The sequence below is a fragment of the Homo sapiens genome, chromosome 4, assembly GCF_000001405.40.
Source record: "Homo sapiens chromosome 4, GRCh38.p14 Primary Assembly".
Lineage (NCBI taxonomy): Eukaryota > Metazoa > Chordata > Mammalia > Primates > Hominidae > Homo > Homo sapiens.
Window position 1 is genome coordinate 156,391,445 of NC_000004.12, and position 17,299 is coordinate 156,408,743.

General features: G+C 33.6%; 1 annotated feature.

The window, feature by feature from the left end:
* Nucleotides 332-501: an enhancer, noted in NCBI's record as "experimental_74995 CRE fragment used in MPRA reporter constructs". NCBI's record gives its function as "activates a minimal promoter by MPRAs in K562 erythroleukemia cells, with activity observed for both the introgressed and non-introgressed 4:157313013 variant alleles {active_cell/tissue: K562}" and the evidence as "EXISTENCE:reporter gene assay evidence [ECO:0000049][PMID:34662402]".

Consider the following 17,299-nt stretch of genomic DNA (forward strand, 5'->3'; position numbering starts at 1 on the left):
TTAAAATAGACCAAGGAGTGTCTAATTTCACTCTGTGAAATACTTCTAAGTAGAGCCTCAAAGCAAATTAAACTAAATATTGTGCATTTTATGGTTCAGGGTTGGTTTGCTAACAAGATAGCTACTGACAGAGCTGACATGGGCCAACCAAAAACGCTGAGGATGGTCTTTCGTTCAGAGCCTCTTCCATACAACCTTTAACTTCTTTAACTGTCACTGTCTCAGATCTACAGAGAGTCCTACAGCACTGACCCAGAAAAAACAGGCTGTCTTCTGGGCAATAAGACAGTAAAATTCTGGATTAATACCCTCTATAGCCACCCTAGAAAAAAAAATTAATGATGGGAATTTCAAGTTACTAGTATGGGGGCAAACTTCAGGGGAGAAAAAAGAAGGCAGTTGAGACCTTTTGTTATTGATCAAGTCATAAGACCACCTTAATGTTAGATGAGATTACTCAGTTTCCATTTGCTATATTTCATGGGAAGCATTTGCTATTTGGAGAACTGATGTTTACCATGGAACAAATGATTCTTTTTCTAATTTCTAGTATTTATCTTTCGCAATTTTGGCTTTTCTGCTTCCTCCACTTATTTGTCCACAATACCTTCAAATTCTTTATGTATTTAGTGAGCAATGTTGAAAGAGGAATATAATACATTTATTTATTATAATCACTGACCTATAATTCTTAGAATAATTAAGTAGTATAGAAACCAGGATTATACAGAAATATTCCTTATATTTAAAACTCTGCGATAAAATTTTTTACTTGAACCACTTTTTGATAAAATTTACTTCTATTAAGAGGATTATTTTGACAAATATGCCAGTTAATCTCTTGCACGATATTCATTGTTACTGAATGTGTTTGGCAAATAATTCGGCTATCTCTAACTAGCTATTTGACATTGCTATTTCTGTTGGGTGGACCATAGGAGTTATAGTTGCTTGGATCTAACATTTCTACATGAATACATGCTAGAGAAAGGAGCAAATATAAACAGGATTAAGTTCAACAAATCACATGGAAGAAATATATAGACCACAAATACCCGGTGGACCAGTTTGCTTTTTTACAAGTATTTTAGGACAAATTTAGAAATGGTCACACTTGACCACAGGATAAATGTGAATCAGCACAATGGGGCTTCAACTAATAAAAGGAAGTAAAATGCACTGACATTTAAGCAATGAAAATAACCAACTTGGCACCCTTTTCGATTGACCCATTCTTCATCAGGACTAATAAACCGAAGTATTTGGGGAAAGGGAACTTAATATTATTAGTATATTTTAATGTCAGGACCAGTTTCTTCTCTCTAGAAACTTGTGAATGTTAACCTGGGTGTATAACCATAAGAAATATAGAAATAGGTAGATTTACATAAAAATAATACTGTAATGTTAACATTTTTTCATAATCCTTAAATCTTCTTGATGCATATATTGTCTTCTTTGCAAACCTTGGTTTCAATCAGGGTTAAGTCAAGACAAAACATTCCATTTGATGATTTTAAGGTAGAATGGTGCTGGGAACCAAACAGCTGGTATATTTGGCATACCCATATGTCTTGAAGAATTCTGGATTTATCTTTATTATTGGACTACTTCATCCAACATTATTTTCCAAGAGAGTTCTGTATGGTAAACAACCATTTGAGACTCTATAGGCTTAAGAAATTCCTATTGTTGGGAACAGGCCCCCCAAAATCTGGCCATAAACTGGCCCCAAAACTGGCCATAAACAGAATCTCTGCAGCACTGTGGCATGTTCAAGAGGGCCCTGACGCCCACACTGGAAGGTTGTGGGTTTACCAGAATGAGGGCAAGGAACACCTGGCCCACCCAGGGCGGAAAACCGCTTAAAGGAGTTCTTAAACCACAAACAATAGCATGAGCGATCTGTGCCTTAATGGCATGTTCCTGCTGCAGATAACTAGCAAGACCCACCCCTTTGTTTTGGCCCATCCTTTCGTTTCCCATAAAGGATAATTTTAGTTAATCAAATATCTATAGAAACAATGCTAATGACTGGCTTGCTGTTAATAAATACGTGGGTAAATCTCTGTTCCGGGCTCTCAGCTCTGAAGGCTGTGAGACCCCTGATTTCCCACTTCACACCTCTATATTTCTGTATGTGTGTCTGTCATTCCTCTAGTGCCGCTGGGTTAGGGTCTCCCCGACCGAGCTGGTCTCGGCACCTATTTTGTCTTTCCTGTTAAATAACAATTGAGTGAGATTTGTATTTTTTTATTATTATACTTTAAGTTCTTGGGTACATGTGCAGAGTGTGCAGGTTTGCTACATGGGTATACACGTGACATGGTGGTTTGCTGAACCGATCAACCCATCATCTACATTAGGTATTTCTCCTAATGCTATCCCTTCCCTAGCCTCCCACCCCTCAACAGGCCCCGGTGTGTGATATTCCCCTCCCTGTATCCATGTGTTCTCATTGTTCAACTCCCACTTATGAGTGAGAATATGTGGTATTTAGTTTTCTGTTCTTGTGTTAGTTTGCTGAGAATGATGGTTTCCAGCTTCATCTATGTCCCTGCAAAGGACATGAACTCATCCTTTCTTATGGCTGCATAGCATTCTGTAGTGCGTATGTGCCACATTTTCTTTATCCAGTCTATCATTGATGGGCATTTGGGTTGGTTCCAAGTCTTTGCTATTGTGAACAGTGCCACAATAAACATATGGTGAATGAGTCTTTATAGTAGAATGATTTATAATCCTTTGGGTATACACCCAGTAATGGAATTCCTGGGTCAAATGGTATTTCTAGTTCTAGATCCTCGAGGAATCACCACACCAATCTTCCACAATGGTTGAACTAATTTACACTTCCACCAACAGTTTAAAAGTGTTCCTATTTCTCCACATCCTCTCCAGCATCTGCTGTTTCCCGACTTTCTAATGATCACCATTCTAACTGGCATGAGATGGTATCTCATCATGGTTTTGATTTGCATGTCTGTAATGACCAGTGATGATGAGCTTTTTTTCATATGTTTGTTGGCTGCATAAAAATCTTTTTTTGGGAAGTGTCTGTGTATATTTTCACCCACTTTTTGATGGCTTTGTTTATTTTTTTCTTGTAAATTTGTTTAAGTTCTTTGTAGATTCTGGATATTAGTCCTTTGTCAGATGGATAGATTGCAAAAATTTTCTCCCATTCTGTAGGTTTGCTGTTCACTCTGATGATAGTTTCTTTTGCTGTGCAGAAGTTCTTTAGTTTAATTAGATCCCATTTGCCAATTTTGGCTTTTGGTGCCATTGCTTTTGGTGTTTTAGTCATGAAGTCTTTGCCCTTGCCTATGTACTGAATGATATTTATTGGGAAACGTATTTCTTCAAATCTGGTCTATTTTAATATTTTAATAAAGTTCTATGTAATATTCTCCAAAGTTGTATTTTATGGTTAATAAGTTTTAAGTCGTTGCCTTTAGTTGACTCTTCTTCTGTATGTCTTAATATTTTAAATTAAGCACAATCTCACAACAGAAGTTGAGGCATCTGATAAACTCTCAGCCCATAATATTAAAAGGAATTTTTTTTGTATTAAAATGTGTAAATATTTAAGGTTATCTTTTTTTGCTTTCATTCTGAGTATATCTTATTAATGATTCTTTGTATGAAGCAAAATTTATAAAATATGTTTTATTTATTTATAATGTTAATGTTTATCCAAATATAGATGCTAAAAATTAGAATCCTATTCACTTACTTTCCTTCCCAGTGTGGAATATAAACCTAACCAATGCAAAACGGAAAACTATCAGAAGATTCTTCCCACAATAGAAGATATTCCAAGTTACAATAATATTTCAAAATTAAAATTGTAAACTGCTTAATTTCTCATTAATGTATTCAACTCTTTTCTCATATTTTGTAGTAACACATTTTAATGATTTTCTTTTCTGAAAATATTACTTTCAATAATTGCAAGGCAAAATCACTTCCAAAATTTGATTGATAAGTAGTAAAGAAAGATTTTACAGCCGTAACATAGGTTTTTTTTTAAATTCATAGCAGTTAATCACATACATTTTGTAATTTACTTACTATAGTTGTGAATATATAAAAATAGTTCTACAATTTAATAACTACCTTACATAGTTAGATTGGTAGACTATGCAATTTTTAATGGACAAAATTATGAGTTATGTGTACATCACCATTTCAAGGGCATTTCTATTCCAACGTTTTCTTAAGTCAGCAAGAATATTGTTTGTGCTATGAAGCTGCACTCCTAGGAAATCTGTAATTTTATTCTTGCTGCAAATAAAATTCAATACTTAATGTTGAATCCGTAACTCAACTGAATATGCCATTCACATTTTCAAAGCTTTGATTTAGTAACTTGGATTGAAGCATTAATTACTGGTATTAACTAATTTTCTCCATTGGAAGCACCTGATAATAATATAAAACTGGTATATTTAAAAGTTTTGAAATTCTTTTTTTGTTTATGGAGTCAACTCATTTTACAATATGACTATACTTATGACCACATTCAGTTTAGAACAGCCACTTTTTTTAAAAGAAAAAGTAGACATCATACTTTACAGAATGATATGAGAATGCAGAAAATGAACCCTTGTCCATCATGATATTGATATAAGTACTACATCTTAAAGTAAGTGTTGATATTTTTTCAACAATCTGCATCTTTGATTGGTGTCACATCACTGACCACAGGAAAAAAACAAAGACAAAAACCTGCTGAAGGTGTTAAGCATCAACAAATACTTTTGCTCGTTACGTGTTCATTCTCAACTTCCTTGTGAAGTGCAAATTCAGTACATAAATTGTTCTTATACCTGCAGTTTTGCTTGTTGAGCTCATTTATGTGAAAATGCTTATTCTGCTAGACTTGATCTAGTGGACACAGTAGAATGAACATGTGATGGTGATACATGAAGAATCAGATACTTTCCAAACAAGACTCCCTAGATGAAATCCATTCTCTAGATGACTTTCATATATTTTCATTTTTGAAACATATGAGAGGGAAATGTTTCACCAGCCCAATATTCCCCCCCAAATGTTTTGTTTGGGGCCCTAACTTTAAAAAATTGTCTTTAAAAAATAAAGCAAGAAAGAAGAAAATGAAAATTTTCCAAGAAATATGACCAGGAACTACTGTAAAGTCTCAAATTGAAAGGAAGAGACTAAGTGTCCACTCTTAGCACTCTGTAATTGCAAAGTTGTGTCAAAATGCCTTCGTTCAGAAAGCTAAATATTTGTTTTTTCTTATTAAGCTTGATGTTCCCCACTTTGCTTGCCTAATAAGTGTTGCATAATTCTATTCCTGTTAGTATAACCTGCTGCGTTGTCAATATGAAAGGTGAAATCATAGAAGCAGTAATCCCCTAATTTCCCATGACTTCACTCAACCATTTTCAATTGTGCACCAAGGTGTTTGCTTTGTACTACAAAAACCACTCTACAGCATACCCCATATCATGAATTTCCCCCAATGATTACATAAAAAACATAACAATACAGAAATTAGAAATTCTTAGAAATGTGGGTCCTATATATCCTGCATGTATTTCTTACAGTGCCAACTTTCTCCTTATTATACTTAAATTGCCTTGCCAGTACATTTTTTTAAATTGTGTAATTGCTTTTTATGTAAAAGTTGCATTTAGAAAGAAATCATTTAAAATAGCCTAATTCATGTAAAGAAGTTTTGAACTACTTTCCAGCAAGCAAAATACTAACTACTTGGTCAAGTTTAATAAATCTTTTAAAGACAGATTTCTGTTGACCAGAATTATATAGAGAGACAGCTTTTATAAGCCATTTCTAGTTAATCAAAAAAATTTACAGTCTCTCATTAGTTGTGAAAACATATCCAGTACAGAAAATAAAGTTTGAAAAAATAAGCAATATTTTTAGGCTTCAGAAAATTTTTAAAAAATCTAGCTCAAAGTGTCAGAAACCTGGGAACACTTTTAGTTTAAAAACTATATTTTATTTTAACCCAAACCATTTGGCTAAATGCCTCAGTTTTCAGTTCAAAATTAGTTATGGAGCTTGTAATGTACTGTAGAAAACATTTTTAAGGTGGTAATATATTAATCTATAACACTATTCTTAAAGACCCATATAATTTGCTCAGGCAAGATCTTCAAGAATATAGAGAATTTGGGAGACTTGTTCACATTTATGCAATAAATAATCATTTGACAGTGGTAGACATTTCAAGCAAAGTAGCACTCGATCTTTGACTATTTCCTCTGCTCTTATTTCATTTATTAATTTATTAATTTGTCATTTAAAATGAACCAAATCACTGTTTGTAGAATGCTTTGCCTTAATAAGACTCAGAAAATTTTTGACATTACCAAGAAAATTAAAGGAGGATTGAAACTGAAGCATCACCAATGGTGACTAAGCTTTATCTGCAAAAATTCTTTCTGCAGTGAGGGAGACATCATAGCTAATAATATTGGGAAAATATCATAATTGACTCAGTGGACATTGGTGGTAATTAAAAATTTTACTAAACACATTTTTCCATAAAATATTCGATGTTCACATTAGTGTCAATAAGATAGACTTCTCCTTCAGTCCTCTGAGGCTTGTCTTCTCCTTTTACTTTTTTATAAGAAAATTTTCTTTTTTACATAGGTATTTTTGTACTATCTTCTACTTTTCAGTACCCTATCCATTGGGTAAATGAGACGGATTCGTGTACAGAATTTAAGTACCTCTAAATGCTTATATACAATGACATAGTCATTGTATAGAAGCAGAAAATTGGAGCAAGATCTGCCTATCAAAATGTGAGCCTTTGGGAACTCACAGACATCTCCAGAAGACCAGGACTAATATGCCATCAATACTGTCTGCTATGGCCCTGCTGGCAGTTTGTGAGGAGTGGCCATAATAATACCACACTCCATTCTGATTTTTCAGTACTTATGTCATACCACTTGTTAAGTACAAATGATCCTTGACTTACGATAGGGCCACTCATTAAACCCATCATAAGTTGAAAATATTGTAAGTAGAAAATGCATTTAATAATCCCAATTCATATCTTTATATCTTCAGTTATGTCTGGGTGTTTTTAGATCCCCACGACTAACTTTTAAGAACTTTTCCTACCTCTATTATTGTCAGCTGTATATTTGGTTTAGTCATACTGGAGGGGCAAGAAACATTTGTAGAACAGCCAGTTTCTATTGTCAATCGTCCTACCAAAATCCTTGAAGAGATGAATGTCCCTGAATTACTAAAAACAACTGGTTGTTGGTAGCAGCAATGAGAATGCTAGCCTGGCAGTGGTGAAGAAGAGGCCTCAGATATGTGAGACTGAGAATTCCTCAATTTACTTCCCACTGTTCAGCAGAGAGCACCCTTCTGTGCTAAAAGGAGTGTCTAAAACTAGAGTTAACTATGTTTCTCTTCACTCAGCTACTGGTTTGTGAGTTCCTTGAGGTTAGGCACTGTTTCTCATTTGCACAATTATTCAATTGATAGCTACAGAAAATAGAATGATTTTTATCTCAGGTCTGTCTGCAAATATTGTGTTCTTATAATCTCAAACAGTTCTGTAGAATTAAAATATTTTGTTTCATATAGAGCTATTAAAAATTTTGTTAATTTTACTTTAAGTTTGGGATACATGTGCAGAATCAGGAAACAATAGAGGCTGGTGAGGCTGTAGAGGAATAGGAACGCCTTTACACTGTTGGTGTGAGTGTAAATTAGTTCAACCATGTGGAAGACAGTGTGGCGATTCCTCAAGGATATAGAGCTGTTTTTATGTGCTGAGACCTTTTAGTATCCCTTTCAAAATTTACCTCCTCCCTCAAGGATAACTTCAAGACTGTTTATATGATAGTGAAATATTTTTTCTTCTTCTTCTTCTCAGTTTTGAACTAGATGTTTGTTCTCTGATGATATTTGCTGGTTCCTAAAGCCTAAAGAAAATCACAGGGAATAAAATACAGCTCTCTACCTTTGAAGTCTATCCAATAGCATGGAAGATCTATCACTTCTTTCACCTAAAGTTCCTTTAATTTACTTTCTTGACTGCTAAGGGATGACAATTAAAGCACCCAAGCTCTAAAATGGAACCCAAAGGTATAATAAAAAACCAAAGAAGCATTCCAAGAAATACTTTTTAAGATTTCACTATGGTTACAAATGTTAAGATTAAGTTTGTATTTTTTTAAATGCACAATAAAAACAGATTTTTTTTGATAATTCAGGCCAAAATACTTTAACTTGCTATATATTTTAAGTTTTCATAACTCTTGATTATAGTTGTAATTCTTTATCATAAAATTTGGATACAGGAAGTTTCAACTTGTTTCAATATATAAATTCCAATTCTATTATAAAGACACAGCATTCCTAGTATTCTCAAGTTTGCAGTATTTTAACTGAATAGTAATGAAAACAATATGATCATAATGTATGTTTTTTTAAGTAGAGATTATATGATATGTAATACAAGAGAAGAAGTGAGCCAAATGATAATGTAGAAATAGCCAACCCCATAAATTCTATTTTTCCTCTCTCTCAGAACAAGCAATTTTGCCTATGGATCAAAATAATATTTCCAGAATGTTATTGATAGCAATCTGTTACCATCTTCATAATCGTCAGAGTATTCGAATTAAGTAAAATATTGTTTGTCTTTGAAACATTAAAATTTTGTCAGAATATTAAAATATGGAGACATTAACATCTTGCATCGAATTATAAAATGTGTACTCTCTGGTAGCTTCACTATCATTGTAATCTACTTTTATGCTTTTTGTACCTTGGATTCCAAAGCTTTTATATAAGACATCTTTACTCTAAGTGGTTATTGCAAAGGATAAATAAAACAATGGATGTGAAATTCTGGCTAAGATCTAGTCTTCATAAATAGTGTTACATTTGATTAATTACCATCTGTTCAGTTAGTGAAATGCAGATTTTATTCAAACATAAGTGAATATTAAGATTCGTATTAAGTAATGTATACCTGCTTGTATATCTTTTCCCTGCCATTACAGTGGGTTACTTTGGGGATGCCAGAGATATTCCGGCACGTACACCAATATTTCTGAAGTCCCTGAACACTTTTATCTGAAACTGAAGGCTTCCTAATACATTATTACACATTATTATAATTTACCATCCTGACACCTCTAAATAAGGTCTAGCGTATCACTCCAGACCTAGACAATATGGCCAACATAGCATACATACTTGTAGAAAACTCTATCATAACTTACAAAATAAATAAAGTTGTGAAGACAGATTATTTAAGATCATTTAACAACTTTTTTACTAAAACACTCTTTGCTTAATAACAAGCAGAAGTGGAGTAATAATAAGTATCCTTCAAGCACTGTCTAATGTGAGGCTTTGGTACTATCAACCAAAGTTTTAATTTTGTTAGATATATATAACTTATTCCACATTTTTTATACTAACCAAATCAAAATATTTTTCTGAGCTAAAAAAATTGGATATTTAACTTTGAAAAGAATATATGGTACAAAACATGAAGGATGATACAGAGGAAATAGTATTCTAATACATTACATTCAGTGTATGAGCATATTTACAACAATATTGGGGCTTTTTGGCCTTTAAAAAACCAATAAACTTTTTGAGTTCTTTGTTGTTGTTTATGAATCAATTATGAACAGAGCAAGTTTGTTATATAATGTTTCATTTTGATTTGAATAAAAGAACATGCAATAGATGTTCTAGTTGTTAAGAAAGAGTGAGCATACTCTACTCTATCCTTTCTACTGATTACCATTAAAAGTCCTGGACAAAACAATACATAAAGCAACTATCACAAGACATTGAAAAGTAAATTAGCACAGAACAACTGGTAGGCAATTAAAAACACTACGTATGAAAGTGAGGACTTCTGTAAATCTGTTAATCAATAAAAATAATCAAAATGACGACAACATTTTTCAAAATTTACTTCTTCAAAACTCTGGAGATTAACCAAAGAGTTAAGAAAACAGAGGAACATTTACTCAAGAAAGACTGCTGAACCTCAGTGCAAACAGGATAATTTATAGCTTTTTAACTTGGCCTATTCCCATCTTTCACTCCCTGGCTTCACAGTAATCTTGAAAAAACAGTAGGCTCATCACCATGGTAGCTGTGAAAATCAGCAGCTTTGCCACCACTGGAGGAAGAATGAGATTCGAGCTCCTCAAAAATTTGTATCCTTAAAGCCTTGTAACTATGTGATCTGTCTTACAGATCTCTGTAAAAATCCCACTTACAGGGCTTCATCACTATTTGATCTTACTTGCAGGAAAGCTCTATTCCAAGATCGCAAGGACATTTGTCAAAAATAATCGGTAGCAATTGTTTAACAAGGCATTTCCCTTAAGTTTCAATACCAGGTGGGGCAATCAAGAGCCTGGCCAAAAATGTGAAAAGAAGATTTTGGGAATGAGATGCTCATAAATAACATTGAAAGCTCTGACATATACCTGGAAAACTGGAAAATCACATGCATAGGCAGGGTTGTGTGCATGGTCAGAAAATGCCTAAAGGTCTCCAATCTTTCACTCCTGGGTAACCTTAAGGCTCTGTATAAGCAAAGAGTTAAAGCTAAAGTAGAGTTTTAAACTCCTTGAGCACTGAGGCTTATACTCCAACACACACACACACACACACACACACACACACACTACACACACATACGCACACATTCTTAGTCAAGAGCAGCAGACTTATAGTTTCCAGGCATTTAAGAAAATATTGGTACAATCAATAACTGACTACTTGCCAAACCATGTAGAGACTTCAGTGGATGCACTCTAAGGAGGAATAAACATTAGAGGATTAGTTCAGGAAACTCACTAAATAAAAAACAGTGGAAGCAAAAACAATAGTAAAAACAATTAAAAGGCAGCAACAATAAACCTAAGGGAGAGTAGGAGAATCTGATTTCCTGGGTTACAGCATTGTATTTTCTAAAATCTTACTTTCCAAAAAAATTATGACACATGGAAAATATGAAACACACAAAGAAAAAAAACAATATGGAGAAATTGTGCCTCAGGAGAACAAAAAATTTCTACATTTAAAGAACAACAACAACAACAACAGAAAACATGTTCAAAGAATTAAAATATGAAAACTGTGTATCACCAAATATAGAATATCAATAAAAATAGTAATTACAACAAAGAATTAAATATAAATTCTGAGGCTGAAAAGTAAAGTAACTAAAATAAAAAGAATGTATTAGGAGAACACAACAGTAGATTTGAGATGGCAGGAGAATCAGTGAAATTAAAAATATGCCAACTGAGATTATCCATTCTGATTAAAACTAATAAAAAAAAATGAATGGAAAAAAATGAGCAGAGCCTCAGACATGTATGGCACACATCCAATACACCAACATAAATCTGATGAAAATCTCCAAAGGACAGGAGAAAGAGAAAGAAGTAGAAAGAATATTTGAAGAAATTATAATCAAAAGTTTCAAAATGTGCTGGCAAATATTATTCTACACATCTAGAAAATTCAACAAATTTCAATTAGGATAAACTCAAAGACAGTCACACCAACACATCATAGCCAAATTGTCAAAAGATTGAGAGGAGTAATATTGTCAATATTGAGAGTGGCAAGAGAAAAACAGTTCAACACGTGTAGGAAAACCTCAATAAGATTAATATCTAACTTCTTGTCAGAAATCACTGAGACCAAAAGGCAAGAAGACAATGTATTTGAAGTGCTGGAAGAAAAGTTCTGCCAACCAAAAATTTTATATCCAGGAAAACTATCCTTCAAAGGTGAAAACTAGGTAAAGCTATTCCAGAATAAATGAAAACTGAGATACTTCATAGTTATCAGACCTGCAATACAACGAAAAAAAAAGAAATAAAACAAACAAACAAAAAATTTAAGGGAGTCCTTTAGGCAAAGAGGAAAGAATGCTAGAAGGCAACTTAAATGCATAACAAGAACTAAAGAACATTTGTCAAGTTAAATACACAGGCAATATAAAATATAGTAAAAATGTATTTTTCTTTACTTTTGTCTCCTTCTATCTGATTTAAAGGACAATGGCATAAAGCAATTATTATGAATCTGTGTTGACTGGCAGAGTATAAACATGTCATTTGAATGACAATAATAGCACAAAGAAGGGATAGGGAATGGAACGATACATGAGCAAAATTTCTGTATAAAATTAAGTTAGTATTACATTAAGATTTTAATTGTAATCACAAGGACAACCACTAAAAAATGTTTGAAAATATTAAAAGAAATAACAATGGAATTAAAGAGGTATACTAGAAAGTATCTATTTAACACAAAGGAAGGCTATAATTAAGTAATAGAAGAAAAGAAAAGACACAAGACATATAGAAAACAGTAAAAACCAGCAAAAGCTTGATTCAACTAGATGCTACCTACAAGATACACACCTTAGGTTCACAGACAAGTAAGTTAACAGTAAAATGAAAAAATATTCAAAATGCAAATATTTATCAAAAATCTGGAATGACTATATTAATGCCAATAAAATAACCATTATGATAAAAAGTTATAATTGAAACAGAGAAGGATGCTTTATATGATAAAATGATCAATTCCTTAAGAGGATGTAATAATTATAAAACTATGTGCAACTAATACATAAATACCGTAAGCAAAATACCAAATACAAAGCAACAATGGACAAAATTGAATACCAAAAATATACAATTCCATATTAATACATGTAGAATTCAACATCTCACCATCAGTAATGAATTGAACTAGTTAGAAAATGATTAATGGAAGACTTTAATAAAACTATAAACCAACTAGAGCTAACAGATATCTATATAACCTGGAGAAAATTATGCTAAGTGAAATAAGCCAGACACAGAAGGACAAATTCTACAGGAGACCATTTACATGATGAATCTGAAATAGTCAAAGAAGCAAAGAGTGGAATGGTAGATGTCAGGGACAGGGGAAGGGAGAAACATGGAGATATTCGTCAAAGGGTACAAAGTTTTGGTTATACAAGATGAATAAGTCCTAGAGATCTGCTATACTGAATAGTGCCTATAGTTAAAAATACTGTATTGTATACATAAAATTGGGTGAGAAGATAGATGTTAAGTATAATAGATGTTAAGCAAATAATAATAAATAAATAGGGAAGAAGAAAACTTTCGGAGGTAATGAATTGGTTTATAGCATAGATTGTATTTCATGCATAGAATTGTTCTATAGCATAGATTGGTTTCACAGGTGCATACTCATCTCCAAATTCATTTACTTGTATATATTAAATTTGTGCAGCTTTTTGTATGTCAATCATAACTCAATGAAGAGTTTTCTTTTTAAAGGAAGCCCCTCTTTGTCCCATTTTTCTTTCTTTTCCCTCAAAATAGACAGTAATCATTTCCCCACATTTCTTTATACTTTATTAAGTAACTATATATCTGTAAACATTATTATTTCTATCTCAATAGAGACAGAAAAAGCATTTGATAAAATCCAGCAAACTTTATGATTAAAACCCTCAGCAAAATGGGCATAAAAGGGACATGCTTTAAGATAATAAAAGCAATCTATGACAAACCCACAGCAGATATTATACTGAATGGGGACAAGTTGAAAGCTTTCCCCCTGAGAACTGGAACAAGACAAGGATGCCCACTTTCCCCACTTCTATTCAACATAGTACTGGAAATCCTAGCCAGAGGAGTAAGACAAGAGAAACAAATAAAGGGCATCCAAATCAGTAAAGAGGAAGGCAAACTGCTGCCTTTGCTGAGGACATGTTCATATACCTAGAAAACCCTAAAGACACATCCAAAACATTGTAAATGAATTCATTTACCAGTAATTACTGGTAAGTGAATTCATCAAAGTTTCAGGATACATAATTAATGTATAGAAATTGGTAGTCCTGCTATCCACCAACAGCAACCAAGCTGAGAATCAACTCAAGAACTCAACCCCTTTTATGATAGCTGCAAAAAATGTATACTTAGGAAGAATATACCTAACTGAAGAGGTGAAAGAATTCTGCAAGGTAAACTACAAAACACTGCTGAAAGAAATTATAGACAACACAAACAAATGGAAACACATCACGTGCTTATGGATAAGTAGAATCAATATTGTGAAAATGACCATACTGCCAAAAGCATGTTACAAATTCAATGTAATTCCTGTCAAAACACCACCATCATTCTTCACAAAATGAGAAAAAACATCCTAAAATTCATATGGAACCAAAAAAAAGAGCCTGCATAGCTAAAGCAAGACTAAACAAAAAGAACAAATATGGAGGTATTACACTACTCTACTTCAAACAATACTATAAGGCTATAGTCACCAAAACAGCATGGTACTGGTATAAAAATAGGCATATAGACCAATGGAACAGAATAGAGAACCCTGAAGTGAGGCCAAATACTTATAGTTAACTAATCCTCGACAAAGCAAACAAAAACATAAGGTGGGGAAAGGACACCCTATTCAACAAATGGTGCAAGACACAAGTAGAAGAATGAAACTGGATCCTTATCTCTCATCTTATAAAAACATCAACTCGAGATGGATCAAAGAGTTAAATCTAAGACCTTCATGAAGCCATGAAAATTCTAGAAGATAACGTTGGAAAAACCTTTCTAGACATTGGATTAGGGAAAGACTTCATGACCAAGAACCCAAAAGCAAATGCAACCAAACAAAGATAAAGAGATGGGACCATTAAACTAAAAAGCTTCTGCACAGCAAAAATAATAATAATAATCAGCAGAGTAAACAGAAAACCTACAGAGTGGGGAAAAAAATCTTTGCAATCTATACATCTGATAACGACTAATGTCCAGAATCTTAAAGGAACTCAAAAAAAAAAAAAAACAGCAAGAACAATGCAAACAGTTCAATCAAAAAGTGGGTAAATTACATGAATAGAAAATTCTCAAAAGATGATACACAAATGGCCAAGAAACATGAAAAAATGGTCAACATCACTAATGATCAGGGAAATGCAAATCAAAACCACAATGCAATACCATCTCAGTCTTGCAAGAATGGCCATAACCAAAAAGTCAAAAAATAATAGATTTTGGCAGGGATGGAGGGAAAAGGGAACATTTTTATACTACTGGTGGGAATGAAACTAGTACAACCACTATGGAAAACAACGTGGAGATTCCTTAAAGAACTAAAAGTAGATCTACCATTTGATCCAGCAATCCCACTCCTTGGTATCTACCCAGAGGAAAATAAGTCATTATACGAAAAAGATACTTGCACACACATGTTTATAGCACAATTTGCAACTGTGAAAATATGGAACTAGTGCAAATACCCATTGATCGACGAGTGGATAAAGAAAATGTGATATATATATAATGGAATATTACTCAGCCTTAAAAAGGAACAAAATAATTGCATTTGCAGCGACCTGGATGAAATTGGAGATTGTTATTCTAAGTGAAGTAACTCAGAAATGGAACACCAAACATCTTATGTTGTCACTCTTAAGTGGGAGTTAAATTGAGGATGCAAAGGCCTAAGAATGATACAATTTACTCTGAGGACGCAGGGGAAAGGGTGGGAGTGGGGTGAGGGATGAAAGACTACACATTTGGTACAGTGTACACTGTTCTGGTGATAGGTGAACCAGAACCTCAGAAATCACCATTAAAGAACTTATTCATCTAACCAAATACTATGTATTCCTCAAAAACCTATTGAAATAATTTTTAAAAAGAAAGTAGCAAATGCTTTTGACAAATTGATAAAGCTCATATAAAACAAAGGGTGGGAAACAAATCCCAAAAATTTTCAAGGATTTGTCACCTTGATAAAATACTTAGGGGTTCAATTATTTGGGGCAAGTTGAGATATCCTGGGTGAAGGATTATGGGATTATGTCCTTCCTACCATAAACAAAGAAGCACAATATCAACTAGTCCTCTTCGGATTTTGAAACAACACATACCTAATTCGGGCATTCACTCCAATCCATTTACCAAGTAAGTCCAAAACCACCAGTTCTGAATGGGGGGTCCTGGACAAGAGAAAGATATGAAATAAGTCTAGGCTTCAGTGGAAATTGACCTGCCAGTGGACCATAAGAACCAACAGATCCAATTATATTTGAAGCATGTCTGGTAGATAGTGAAGTATGGAATCATTGAAAAGTGAATGATAGCAAGGAATCTGAAGATTTTGAAAAACGCTTCACCATCCTCTGTAAATAAATAACAATTCTTATTTTGAGAAATAGCATCTGGCTTGCTATTGGGCTTTAGTAGAGACTTAGCCCTTGATTGTGAACCACCAAGTCATGTGATGTGAATTGCTCATGAAATCTGTGTAGTATCTGATTTATTGAACTACTTCCACGATGGAAAGAACTGCACATTGTTCTCACTAGTGTAGATATTTATTCTGCATATAGAATTGCCTTTCCTGCCCGCGATGCCAAAACCAACATCCACTGATTTACAGAATGCTTTATACAACATCATATTATCCCTCACAGCATTGTTTCTGATCAAGGAACTTATTATCCAGCAAAGAAGGTGAGGCCTATGAAAAACTAATAATTACAAATATCTCTGTATTTAGTCCAAGAAATATGCAATTATTATAAAACTTTAAAATATAATTTGAAGTGAATCTACCTGAAGAATCTCAAATCTGCTTTCACATTTTAACATACAAGAATACCTTTTTTTTTTTTTTTTGAGACTGAGTCTCACTCTGTCTCCAGGCTGGAGTGCAGTGGTGCAATCTCAGCTCACTTCAACCTCCACCTCCTGGGTTCAAGCGATTCTCCTGCCTCAGCCTCCAGAGTAGCTGGGACTACAGGTGCGCTCCACCACACCCAGCTAATTTTTTTTATTTTTAGTAGATACAGGGTTTCACCATGTTGGCCAGGATGGTCTCGATCTCCTGACCTCGTGATTCACCTGCCTCGGCCTCCCAAAGTGCTGTAATCCCAAAGTACCAGGATTACAGGCGTAAGCCACTGCGCCCAGCCAAGAGTACTTTTATTGAGCAGTGACTGTGTTCCTGACTTCTACTAGGATATAGAAATAAAGAAAAGACATATTCCCTGTCCTATAGAAAATAAATTTTAAATGCATAAAAATTTCAGGAAATAATAAAAATTATACCCGAAGTCCTATAAACAATGGGCTTCATGAAATATTTTACCATGTGTAGTGTTCCATTATGTGAAGTATGCCTTAAAGGCCAAACACTATTTTAAGCATTTTAATATATATTAGATAGAAGAAAACCCCTTTTTCAG